Raw genomic sequence first — 14,173 nt, 5'->3', positions numbered from 1 at the left:
ATCAACTCTTCATTTACCTTAGGTACTTCTCCTAATGCTGTCCCTCCCCCAGCCCCCCAGCCCCCGACAGGCTCCCATGTGTGATGTTCCCCGCCCTGTGTCCAAGTGATCTCATTGTTCAATTCCCACCTGTGAGTGAGAACATGCAGTGTTTGGTTTTCTGTCCTTGTCATAGTTTGCTGAGAATGATGGTTTCTAGCTTCATCTATGTCCCTGCAAAGGACATGAACTCATCCTTTTTATGGCTGCATAGTATTCCATGGTGTATATGTGCCACATTTTCTTAATCCAGTCTATCACTGATGGACATTTTCAGATTTTTCATTGCTAGTTATAGAAATACAATTGATTTTTGTATATTGATCTTCTATCCTGTAACCTTGCTCAACTTGTCACTTCTAATGGTTTTTTTTATATGTAGTTTTACTGCTTTTTAATCTAGATGCCTTATATTTCTTTTTTTTTTTTTTTTTTTTTTTTGGCTTTTGCCTAACTGCCCTGCCTAGAACCTACAGTACAGTGTTGAATAGAAGTGGTGAGCGCAGACTTATTTTTTCTTATTTCTAATCTTAGTGGGTTAAGTATCCAGTTTTTCACCATTATGAAATACTGCTATGTATGTTAGCTGCAGATTTTTCTTCTTCTTTTTTTTTTTTTTTTGAGACGGAGTCTTGCCCTGTCATCCAGGCTAGAGAGTGGCATGATCTTGGCTCTCGGCAACCTCCACCTTGCCTCCTGGGTTCAAGCGGTTCTCCTGCCTCAACCTCCTGAGTAGCTGGGATTAGAGGTGCCTGCCACTGCACCCAGCTAGTTTTTGTATTTTTAGTAGAGGTGGGGTTTCACCATCTTGGCCAGGCTGGTCTCAAATTCCTGACCTCATGATGCATTTGCCTTGGCCTCCCAAAGTGCTGGGATTACAAGCATGAACCACCGTGCCTGGCCAGCTGTGGATTTTTCACAGATACCCTTGATCACATTGTGGAAGATCCCTTCAAGAGCTACTTTGTTGAATGTTTTTATTACAAAAGAGTATTGGATTTTTTCCAGTTCTTTTTTCTGCATCTGTTGAGCTGATCATGTGATTTGTTTTTTAAATTCTATTGATATGATGTAGTCTATCAGTTGGTTTTCTAATGCCGAACCAACCTTGTATCCCTGACATTAATCTCACTATCATGATTTATAATTCGTTTTCTATATTGATGCTTTTGGTTTGCTTGTATTTCATTGAGGATTTTGTGTTCATATTCCTAAGAGATATTGCTCTATAGTTTTCTGGTGATATGTTTATCTGATTTTGGTGTCAGAGTAATACTGTCCTAAAATGAATCGGGAAGTGTTTTCTTCTCTTTTTGTAACGAGTGTGAGGAATTAGTATTAACTTCTTTAAATATTTAGTGGAATTCAACTGTGAAGCCATCTGGACCTGGCCTTTGTGGGTCGTTTCTTGATTACTAATTCAATCTTTTACTTGTTATAGGTCTGTTCAGATTATCTATTACTTCTTGAGTTGGTTTTGGTAGTGTGTAGCTTTCTAGGAGTTTTTCCCTTTCATCTAATGTATATAATATATTGATATACAATTGTTTATAGCATTCCTGTATAATCTTTTTTTACTTCTTTCAACTTAGTAGTGATGTCCTAACTTATATATGATCCTACTAATTTGAGTCTTCTCTCTTTTGTTCGTGGTCAATCTAGCTAAAGTTTTGTTAATTTTGTTAATCTTTTCAAAGAACACCTTTGGTTTCCTTTATTTTCTCTATTGTTTTTCTATTTTTGATTTCATTTACTTTTTGCTCTAAGCTTTATTATTTCCTTCCTTCTGCTTGCTTTAGGTTTATTTTGCTCTTCCTTTTCCAGTGTCTTAAGGTTGATAGGTTATTGGTTTGAGATCTCACTTTTTCTTTATATATGCATTTACAGCTATAAATTTTTCCCTTTTCACTGCTTTAGCTAATCCCGTAAGTTTTGTTCTGTTGGATCTTTATTTTCATTCATCTCACATATTTAACACGTATTTGTAAGTTTTCCAATGTTTTTGGTTACTGATTTCTAGTTTCATTCCATTGTAGTTGGAAAACATACTTTGTATTATTTCTAAATTTTAAATTTCTTTAAAATTATTGAGGTTTGTTTTATAGCTAACTATATGATCTATCCTGGAGAAGTTTCATGCGTGCTAGAGAAGAATGTATGTTCTGCTTTTGATGGATAGGTGTTCTATAGATGTCTGTTAGGTTTAGATGGTTTATAGCGTTGCTCAATCCTATATTTCTTTTTTTTTTAATTTTTAAAACTTTTTTTATATTTCTTAACTTTTATTTTAAGTTCAGGAGTACATATGCAGGTTTGTTATATAGGTAAACTCAGGTCATGTGGGTTTGTTGTACGGATTATTTCATCACCCAAGTTATAAGCCTGGAACTTATTAGTTATTTCTACAGATTTTCTCTCTCCTCCCACCCTCTACCCTCAGGTAGGCCCCAGTATCTGTTGTTCCTCTCTATGTGTTCATCTGTTCTCATCAATTAGCTCCCACTTATAAGTGAGAACATGCAATATTTGATTTTCTGTTGGTGTGCTAGTTTGCTAAAGATAATGGCTTTCACCCATGTTCCTGCAAAGAAGATAGTCTCATTCTTTTTTTATGGCTGCATAGTATTCCATAATGTATATGTACCACATTTTCATTGTCCAGTCTACCAATGATGGGATTTAGGTTGACTCCATATCTTTGCTATTGTGAATAGTGCTGCAGTGAGCATATGTGTGCATGTGTCTTTATAATAGAATGATTTATATTCCTTTGGGTATATACCCAGTAGTAGAATTGCTGGGTCGAGTGGTAGTTTTTTTTTAGCTCTTTAAGGAATTGCCACACTGCTTTCCACAAATGGTTGAACTAATTTACAGTCCCACCAGCAGTGTATAAGTGTGCCTTTTTCTCCGTAACCTCACTAGCATCTGTTATTTTTTGACTTTTTAGTAATAGCCATTCTGACTGATGTGAGATGGTATCTCATTGTGGTTTTGATTTTCATTTCTCTAATGATCAGTGATGTTGACCTTTTTTTCATATGCTTTTTGGTCACAGTGTATCTTGTTTTGAAAAGTGTCTGTTCATGTCCTTTGCCCACTTCCTAATGGGATTGTTTGTCTTTTGCTTGTTAATTTACGTTCCTTGTAGATATTGGATATTAGACCTTTGTTGGATGCATAGTTTGCAAATATTTTCTCTCATTCTGTAGGTTATCTGTTTACCCTGTTGATAGTTTCTTTTGCTGTACAGAAGCTCGCTCTTTTAATTAGATCCCATTTATCAATTTTTGCAATTGCTTTTGGCATTTTTATCATGAAATCTTTGCTCATTCTTATGTTCAGAATAGTATTGTCTAGGTTGTCTTCCAGGATTTTTATAGTTTTAGGTTTTACATTTAAGTCTTTAATCCATCTTGAGTTAATTTTTTATACGGTGTAAGGAAGATTCAATCTTCCAGCTTCAGTCTTCTGCCTATGGCTAGTCAGTTATTCTAGCACCATTTATTGAATATGGAGTCTTTTCCCCATTCCTTGTTTTTGTTGGCTGTGTCAAAGATGAGATGTTTGTGGGTCTGTGGGCCTATTTCTGGGTTCTCTAACCTGTTCTATTTGTCTATATATCAGTTTTTGTACCAATACCATGCTGTTTTGGTTATGGTAGCCATGTAGTAGTTTGAAGTCAGGTAACATGATATCTTCAGCTTTGTTCTGTCTGCATAGGATTGCCTTAGCTATCTGAGCTCTTTTTTGGTTCTATGTGAATTTTAGAATAGTTTTTTTTTTTAGTTCTATGAAGAATGTGATTCATACTTTCCTAAGAATAGCATTGAATCTATAAATTGTTTTGGCAGTATGGCCATTTTAACGATATTGATTCTTCCAATCCATGAGCATGGAATGTTTTTCCATTTGTTTGTGTTATCTCTGATTTATTTGAGCAGTGTTTTGTAGTTCCTTTTGTAGAGATCTGTTACCTCCCTCATTAGCTGTATTTCTAGATATTTTATTTTTCTGACAATTATGAGTGGGATTACATTCCCGATTTGTCTCTTGGCTTGACTGTTGTTGGTGTATAGGAATGCTAGTTATTTTTGTATGTTTATTTTGTATCCTGAGACTTTCCTGATCAAAAAGTTAGAAAGATCTCAATTTAACAACCTAACATCACAACTAAAAGAACTAGAGAACCAAGAGTAAACCAACCCCCAAAACTAGGAGAATACTACAAATAATCAAAATCAGAGCTGAACTGAAGGAGATTGAGACATGAAAAACTATTCAAATGATCAAGAATTCCAGTTGATTTTTTGAAAAAAAATTAATAAAATAGACTGCTAGCTAGACTAATGAAGAAGAAAAGAGAGAAAATCCAAATAAACACAATTAAGAATAAGGGGAATATCACCACTGACCCCACAGAAATACAAACAACCATCAGAGAATACTATAAACACCTCTGTGCACATAAACTAGAAAATTTAGAAGAAAAGGATAAATTCCTGGACACATATACCTTCCTAAGACTGAACCAGGAAGACATTGATTCCCTAGACAGACCAATAATGAGCTTTGAAATTCAATCAGTGATAAATATCATACAACTAAAAAAAGCTCAGGACTGGATGGTTTCACAGCTGAATTCTACCAGAGGTATGAAGAAGAGCTGGTACCATTTCTATTGAAACCATTCCAAGAAAATGGGGAGGAGGGACTCCTCCCTAACTAATTCTATGAGGCCAGCATCATCCTGATACCAAAACCTGGCTGAGACACAACAACAACAAAAAAGAAAACTTCAGGCCTATATCCTTGATAAACATTGCAAAAATTCTCCACAAAATACTGGCAAACTGATTCCAGCAACACATTAGAAAATGTATCCATCATAACCAAGTAGGCTTTATCCCTGGGATGCAAGGTTGGTTCAGCATATGCAAATCAATAAACGTAATTCATCACAAAAACAGAACTAAAGACAAAAACCACATGCTTACCTCAATAGATGTAGAAAAGGCTTTTGATGAAATTTAACCTCCTGTAATGTTAAAAACCCTCTATAAACTAGGTATTGAAGGAACATACCTCAAAATAGTAAGAGCCATCTATGACAAATCCACAGCCAAGATCATACCGAATTGGCAAAATCTGGAAGCATTCCCCTTGAAAAGTGGCACAAGACAAGGATGTCCTCTCTCACCTATTCAACTTAGTATTGGACATCCTACCCAGAGCAATCAGTCAGGAGAAAGAAATATCAGGCATCAAAATAGGAAGAGAGGAAGTCAGTCTGTCTCTGTTTGCAGACAACACGATTTTATATCCAGAAAACCCCATAGTTGTGGCCCCAAAGCTCCTTAAGCTGATAAAAATTCTTGTATTTTCTTAGTAATCTTCTGCTTGGTTTTATATCCAGTATTGAAAGTGTGATATTGCACCCTCCGACTGTTATTGTTGAATTATTTATTTATCTTTCATCTCTCCATTCTGTATTCCTTTTCAGTTTCAATTAGTATATGTTGGTACTTTGCTTATACACAAACACACATACACGCACACACAAACACAGACGCCCTGTATAATGGGTAAAGTAATTTGTGAATTTGAATTATCATCTGAAGTTACTTGCTTTCAGCCTGAAAAACTTCCTTTAAGGTGTCTTGTAAGGTAAGTCAGCTATCAACAAAATCTCTTAGGTTTTTTGTGTTTTTTTTTTGTTGTTGTTGTTTTTTGAGATGGAGTTTCACTCTTGTTGCCCAGGCTGGAGTGCAATGGCACAACCTCAGCTCACTGCAACCTCTGCCTCCCCAGGTTCAAGTGCTTTTCCTGCCTCAGCCTCCCATGTGGTGGATTATAAGCATGCGCCACCAAGCCCAGCTAAATTTTTTGTATTTTTAGTAGAGACAGGCATTCTGCATATTGGTCAGGCCTGTCTTGAACTGCTGAACTCAGGTAGTCCTCCCGCTTCGGCCTCCCAAAGTGCTGGGATTACAGGCATGAGCCACCGCACCTGGCCCATACTTGGAATTTGTTAAGCTTCCTGGATGTGTGTTTTTCAATAAATTTCAGAAGATTTAAACTATTGTTTTTTCAAAATTTTTTTGCTCTTTTCTTTCCTTTGGGTATGCTTATTATGTGTATGTTGGTGCACTTAATGGTGTTTCACCTTTTTCTGATTCTCTTAATTTTTCTTCATTTTTTTCTTCATCTATCTGTCTTTCTATCTGTCTGTCCATCCATCCATCCATCCATTCAATTTTGAGACAGAGTGTTGCTCTCTTGCCCAGGCTGGAGAGCAGTGGTGTGATCATAGCTCATGGCAGCCTTGAACTCCTGGGTTCAAGGATTCCTCACACCTCAGCTTTCCGAGTAGCTGAGACTACAGGCATGCACCACCACACCTGGCTAATTCTTTTATTTTTTGGAGAGACGGAGTCTTGCTATGTTGCCCAGGCTGGTCTCTAACTACTGGCCTCAAGCAATCCTCCCTCCTCAGCTTCTCAAAGTGATGGGATCACAGGTAGGAGCCGCCATTCCTGGCCTTGTTTTTGTTCTTCAAATGTCATAATATCCATCTGTCTTCCAGTTTGCTGATTATTTCTTCTGACAGTTTGACTCTACTATTGAATCCTTCTAGTTAATATTTAATTGCAGTTACTGTAGTGTATAATTTCATAATTTTCTTTTTTTTTTTAAAGTGCTATCTCAGTTTCCTATTTCATTTGGACTTGTGTTTATTTCTTTGGTCATTGTTTAATTCTTTAATCACGGTTCTCTTTAGTTCTTTGAACATATTTACAATGCCTACTTTGAAGTATTTTTCTATTATATTTGACATGTGGTTACCTTCACAGGCAATTTCTGTTGCTTGCTTTTTTCCCTCTAGTATATGGATCATACTTCTCCATTTCTTTACATGCCTTATAATTTTTCATTAGAAAATGAACATTTTAGTTAATATATTGTGGATACGCTGGATATTTGTCCCATGTTTCCACTGGGGCTAGTTATTGTTGCCTGCTTGCTTATTTTTCTTTTTAAATCACTTTGCTAAATTATTTTAGTGGAGATGATTTCATCCCCTCTCACTTCACAGTATTAAGCTTCTGATGTTGTTTGTTACGGAGATGCATCTTTGGGTATGTCCACAGTTACCCTGGTATGGTTTTGGCAGGGCTCTTTCTCCTTTTACTGATTATAACTAGCTTTGAAACTATCAATCTCAAGCTTATTACTGTCTCGTTTGCAACATTTTGTGGGGACATAAATTTCTCTACAAACTAATCCAATAACTCTGTGGCCCCTTTGAAAGAATGATTTTAGAGGTCAGTGTTGACATTTATCCTGAACCCAATGGGCTCCTCTCTGTTGTCTCTTTACTCAGTTCTCTCCTCCTATACAACCTAGTCCTTCAATCTATGACTCTTTTTTCTAGTTGTTGTTCACCACAATCTTAGATGTTTTTCATAGAGTACTTAGGCTTCAAATTTTTGCCCTGTTGAATGTTTGAATTTTTGGCAATATGAAAGGTTAACAGAAATCAATGTAATTTTAAGGTTTTTTTTTATATCGAGGTTTTTTCTTTCTCTTGTTAAAGACAAAAGAGTGTTTTTTACTGTGTTTTGATATATGTAAGGACTATTTGTAATTTCATTCTATAAACTGTCCTTTGTATATTTTTAAGTTTCTCTACTTTTCTGATAAGAACAATCACTTCACTTATAGTATGATTTGATATTAAGTGTAACTAGAATAAAGAATAAATTCTGATCAGAATATTTTGAACTTGAATTTCACTGAGGGATTGTTGTATTATTAACAGAATTGGTGATGAAGGGAGAAAGATTTGAGAAAGGAGGTGATAACTTTAGTTGTGTTTTTTTTCTATATTTGATCTTATCGGAGCTATAATTTAGCACTTTAATGTTAACATTTATAAAAATTAATATATGTTATTTTAAATACAGAGTTAATACTTGTAAGAGCAGGACTGTGCAAGATTGTGGAAAAACTGGAGTTGGACAAATGGGCCTATCATTCATTTCCATTGTGGTCATCACTTATGTGATTTTTTGATTCAACTCCAGAAATATTTACGTTGTTGGACACTGTTTCTAGGTGACTTTAGTATGGGCGGGGGGTAAACATGGACAAAAATCCTCCTCTTGCCACCCCGCCCGGCCACATCTTCAGTACTTTTACACATGCCTGAAGGATATAAGAAAGGAGGATTAAACGTGGATCTTGTGTTTATTATTTTGTCTAGACTATTTACTTGCTTTTATTTTTTCACAGATCTGTCAATACTTCTTATCAGCTTTTTAGGAATCTTAATGTAGATTTAGTGTCATCTCTTATACTTGTTATGTTAACCATTTTTGAGGTTGTAGGAGGGCCTTAAAGTGTTTGCAACTACTAGCAATTGAAGGAGATTAAACAGCAACAACAACACAAGATCAAAAACTTAATCTTCATCCTGTGTTGGTTGGAGTTTGCCAAAAGACTTTTTTATGTTGTCAAAAGCAACCTACTTAGGATTCTTTCTGTTTTGAGATTTTGTATATAGACAATATTTACTTTTATTTAGAAAGAGTTTAATCTAGTAAACAAAACATATGCTTCTAATGATTCCCTTTGAAAAAATATGACACTTATTTAAGGGTTAAAAATTTGAAAGAAAATACTGTTACGAATACAACATGTCTTTGATACATCTTAATTAATTAGCACTTGCCATTTGTCTTGCACTATTTTAACTCTTGGAGAAACAAAGAGTAAAGTTTCCTTGAAGGAGGACATAGAGTAATGAGAAATCTTTGTATGCTGTTTAACTGCCATAAAACATAGTAAAGATAGAGAAAGCCGTGGAGAAGAGTTATTATTTGAGCTAGATTTTGAAGGCTGAAAGGAGAGGTTACTGTGCTGAGGAGATTAGAAAGGTCATTCTGCCTAGTAAGACCAGCATGTAGAGACACATGGACATGTGAAAGAGCATGCCTTCAGAGTAGCAGATGGATTGGTGTCATTCAATGATAAGGACTTATGAGTTGGGGAAAGCAAGAATGTGATGCCAGACTGGCTTATTGGGACCAGCAATAGAAGGTATCAATCATGTGGGCGTACTTAGAAGTTTGGATTTTATCTTGTAAGGATCAGGATACTATGAAGGATTTTAAACCATGGTATTATGTGAACAGATTTGCGTGTTAGTATAGTAGAGGTTTCCTTCTGGTGTACCAGGGCATATGACATAATGGGTTGTAGGTGGGCTGGGATACTATTCTTATTAACTAACTCTCAAGGAAGTTGTCTGGGCCAAGGATCACTTGGGCTTTTAATTAGTCTTTTTTGTTCAGAGTAGCCTCATCCATTTACTTCATATACTTTACAAATATTATGACTTTCCAAATGTGCTATGGCATGAAAAAGCTATAGAAATGTGGGTATAAAGTAAGTAGAGTGTGACCATTTAAAAATGTTTTATAGTAATCTTGGCCATCAGTTATCAAAATTTATGATCTCAGAACCTCTTTATGCTCTTAAAAGTTATTGAGTACTCTACAAGATTTTGTTTATGTGGTTTATGTCTATTGGTATTCACTATACCAGAAACTAAAACTGAGAAACTCTTCAAGTACAGTCATGTGCTGCATAAGGATGTTTTGGTCAGTGACGGACTATATACAACAGTGATGCTGTAAGATTATAATAGAACTGAAAAATTTCTATCACCAGTGACATCTTGATGATCCTGACTTTATGTAGGCCTAAGCTAATGTGTTTTTTTGTGTGAAGTTTTAATTAACAAGTTGAAAAAATAAAAATTTTAAAAATAGAAAAAAGCTTATAGAATAAGGTTCTAAAGACAGACAATATTTTTGTACAGCTGTACAGTGTGTTTGTGTTTTAAGCTAGGTATTGTTATAAAAGAGTCAAACAGTTAAATGTAAAGTTTATGAAGTAAAAAGTTACAGTAAGCTAAGGCCAACTTACTAGTGAATACTATTTTTTTTTTTGAAAAAATAAATGTAGTGTAGCCAAAGTGAATAGTGTTTATAAAGTCTACGGTAGTACATTAACATCCTAGGCCTTCACATTCACTCATTACTCACTCACTGACTCAACTAGAGTAATTTCCAATCCTGCAGGCTCCGTTCATAGTAAGTGCTCTTTCAAGTATACAGTTATACCATTTTTTATCTTTTGTACAGTAGTTTTTACTGTATCTTGTCCGTGTTTACATATGGTTAGATACACCAATACTTACCATTGCATGTCAGTGGACTCCAGTATTCAGTATAGTAGCATGGTGTACAGGTTGGTAGCCTAAGATAAATAGGCTACACCATATAGTCTAGCTGTGTAGTATACTGCCTCATCTAGGTTTGTGTAATTACACTCTATGATGTTCCCACAAAATCACCTAGTGGTGCATTTCTCAGGATATGTGTTGTTAAGTGACACATGATTACATATATTTATTCATTTTAAAATAACAATAATAATAGAAGTTAGCAGTTTGATGAAAATTAACTATATTTTCCAAAACTGTAAAATATAGAAAGAAAAGTATCATTATTTTACATTTTTGCAATCTTTTTAATATCTGGTTTAATAGAAAGCAGATTCTCATACCTGCTTCTGTAATCAATCTGCTATGATATATATTTTTGGTTTAAGCCTACAAAGGGAATCCAGGCTCACATAGATACACAGTTAGAAAAGAGAATAATATTTTAAAAGCGTTTTCAAATAATTTTTAATATTCTTTTTTGATACTAAATTAAAACTTGACAAGCAGTAGTTTCTTGCAGTTTAGTTACAATGAAAATCTGGCATATCAATGAATTTTTATGCTAGGTTTTGTGAAAATCTATTGGTCTCATTTTTAATGGATTTTTTTACCCATGTATAATTTTATAACATCATATATGAGTCTTTTGGAAAATAATTGATTGAGTGAGTTATGCAAATCTTCTGAATGTTGACGCATTTGATTATATAATAGAAAAAGAATTCATTCATTAATATTATCACTGGTATCATCAGAAAAGTCTTAAGTATTGGGAAATGGTCAAATTTACAGTGGTGGATACAGTTTTTCAAAATTCTAATTTTCTCTTGAAACCTTGCATTTTAGCATTGGCAACAAATACATTCAGTTGTTTTCCTTTGTGTAGGAGGCTCACTTTCATTTTTGAGAAAATGTTTGTCAGATACCCTAATCTGAATAATCAATTTGTTTTTAGCCTTTATTTCAAATCAAAATGATGTTACATAGAAAGCCTCTTCACTAGCAATTTTATACATACTTTTATAAAATTTTTACAAAATACTTTTATACATAACATTTATTCTATATATAGTAGGAGTAATTTTATACATACTTCCCCTTTTGTCACACAGAATATTAAAAAAGATACATACTCATGATATGAAATTTACAAAACTGATAATTTTTATTGCATTACTTACGGACATTCTTAAGTGAAGTTGGCTTTGTGTTGTTGTTGTTTGTATTTGTGCTTGTATGACAGTGAAGAATACAATCATTACTAATTTATTTGACACTATTAGCTTGATTTATGCTAAGGCACCAGCAGTTTTACCCACCATTGCTTTTGCACCATCAGTACAAATGTCACCAGAATGAGAAAGGCAAATAATAGCTAAGTATTATCATGAAAATAATTTTGACCATGTGGGCCCCCTAAGTGTCCGGGACTTCTAGGACTCCATATGTCATACTTTGTTGATGGATAATTCTTTGCGGAAGTATGGAGGGTAAGGGAACACAGACATTATGTCTTGTCTACCAGCATCCTTTATCCTTGTCTGTCCTAAACCCTTTCTGCCACATATTATTAATATCTTTTTTTTGAGGGGAGGGAGGGTGGGTGTCACAAGTTATATATTTACTTTCATATTTCTTGACCATTTTCCTGTTATCTTGCTTCTTTACTGCTTCCTCTGCTGTTTCCCTGTACAAGTTTCTTAACTTCAATTAATGTCTTTTATATTACCGAATTTGGTATCTTTTTTATTACAATATATTGCATATTCATTTCAGGGTCACAGTTTTCTGGAAAATATTCAACAGTGTTAATATAGTGCAGTGGAGAGTTCTTTAGGCTTGGATTCAGATAGATGTCATTTTAGAAAACACTACTATTAGTTGTAACTTTGGCCAATTTGTGTAAATTTTCTAAAGCTTTATTTTCTTAAGTCCAAAAATAACAATAATAATACCTTAATTTGAAAGTAGTATTAGGAGGATTTGCTTGATAGGATTAGCAAAATGCCTATCATAGTACCTGGCATATAATGTGTTCAATAAAAAGTACTGGCCAATAGAATTAAAATTGATTGGACAGGACTATTCTTAATAATTCATTTTGTTTCTTTTGTTGTCCCTTTGTGTGCATAACTTCAGTAAAATGAACAGCAAAAAGAAAATATTTATTAAACTTTTAATGTCCATATACACAAAGTAAATTTTTATTTTATGGTTTTATTTGTGTGGATTCTCTGAGAATGGTTAGAATTTGGTTAATATGACATCTTCATATGCAAAATTAGAGCATTATATTTCTAAACAAGAAATATATACATGTATCTTCCCAGATCATACTCGCGGAAACCTAGAGACTTCCTAGAATAGTTATATTGTGCAATTATGTGGTTGAAACTCTGAATCCTAACACTGGTTCTCTAACTCTGACATCAACTTAATCTTTGGTAACTACTCTGCATAGGAGAGTGGGATATGCTTCGGAAATTTTCATAAAGTTATGTAAAGCACTTGCAGCACTTTGTTTTAGATTTCAGACTTATTTAGCATTTAAAATACATGTAAAAAATTGGCACGAAGTCATGATTCATTAAAACATTCTAATGGTTCTTTAACGCTAAAAATTACACTGTTGTATAGTAGTTGTAAGAAAAATAGTACTCTGGACTCTATTTGGGAAAACCAGAATGATATGTTGAAGAGCAAATTAAATTATTTTAGAATTTCATTTGGTTATACCAAGAATTTGTTATTCTGTGATTTGGAGTTATATATTCAAATCGTAATTTTTAAAAATTGAATAATGTTTTTTAATTATGTAATTGCAGAAAGCCTTTATAAAGCTTCTTGGCAATGTGAAGAGTCATTTTTCTTAGTTTAAGGTACCATTTTTATTAAATTTTTTGAGTATTTCTATATTAGTTTGGCTTTACACCTCTGTTGAATAGGTTGTTAATAACTTGAAAAAGTTAAACTTTGAGATAACTGATGTTTGTTACTTTTTTCTCTTTTTATAAGCTATTTGAACTGCTGGGACCTGAAGGACTTGAACTTATTGAGAAACTCCTCCAGAACAGAATTACAATTGTGGATAGATTTCTTAATTCTTCAAATGATCATAGGTTTCAGGCTCTTCAAGGTAAGAAAGTATGCAGTGGTCATTGTAATTTAAAGGAAATATTCATTGGTTAGCAAATGTTTTTAATGTAATTACATTTTAAAATATGTTTTGGTCTGTTATATAATTTACTGATATTACTCTGTTAAATAGATTTTAGATATGGCATATTATGAAAAAACGTAAGTGATCTAAATAGGAGGGCAGTGTTTGGGTATGGCAGTTTTTGGTAAAAGTTAAAACTACTTAGAATACACAACTTTCTTCTTTTATTTTGCATATAGGAGGTACACGTGCAGGTTTGTTGCATGAGTATATTGTTTGATGCCAAGGTTTGGGATATGGATTCTGTCACCCAAGTGATGAACATAGTTCTTGACAGGTAGTTTTTTAGCCCTTTCCCTACTCCCTCTCGCTCCCCTTTTGGAATCCCTAGTGTCTGTTGTTTCCATCTTTGTGTCTGTGTGTACCCAATGTTTAGCTCTCACTTACAAGTGAGAACACGAGGTATTTGGTTTTCTACGTTAATTCGCTTAGGATAATGGCCTCCAGCTGCATTCATATTGTTGCAAAGGACATCATATAGTCATGATTAATTAAAACATTCTAATGGTTCTTTAACTGTAAAATGACAGCTGTTATGTAGTAAGTTGTAAGAAAAATATTACTATGGACTCAATTCAGGAAACAGAACAATTTCTTCTTTTTATGGCTACGTAGTGTTC

General features: G+C 34.1%; 1 protein-coding gene across 5 annotated transcripts in view; it reads left to right on the top strand.

Annotated features, from left to right (window-relative positions):
* ASCC3 (activating signal cointegrator 1 complex subunit 3) overlaps positions 1-14,173 on the top strand; it is a 373,136-nt gene that overhangs the window by 62,101 nt on the left and 296,862 nt on the right. For all 5 annotated transcript variants that reach the window (NM_006828.4, XM_011535394.4, XM_047418108.1 and 2 more), the window contains one exon: positions 13,349-13,469. In NM_006828.4, coding sequence (NP_006819.2) covers positions 13,349-13,469 — 121 coding nt within the window. The remainder of the gene's footprint in view (positions 1-13,348; positions 13,470-14,173) is intronic.

Source organism: Homo sapiens, chromosome 6 (genome assembly GCF_000001405.40).
Source record: "Homo sapiens chromosome 6, GRCh38.p14 Primary Assembly".
In the NCBI taxonomy this organism is placed as follows: domain Eukaryota; kingdom Metazoa; phylum Chordata; class Mammalia; order Primates; family Hominidae; genus Homo; species Homo sapiens.
This window is presented reverse-complemented; position numbering and strand designations above follow the sequence as displayed.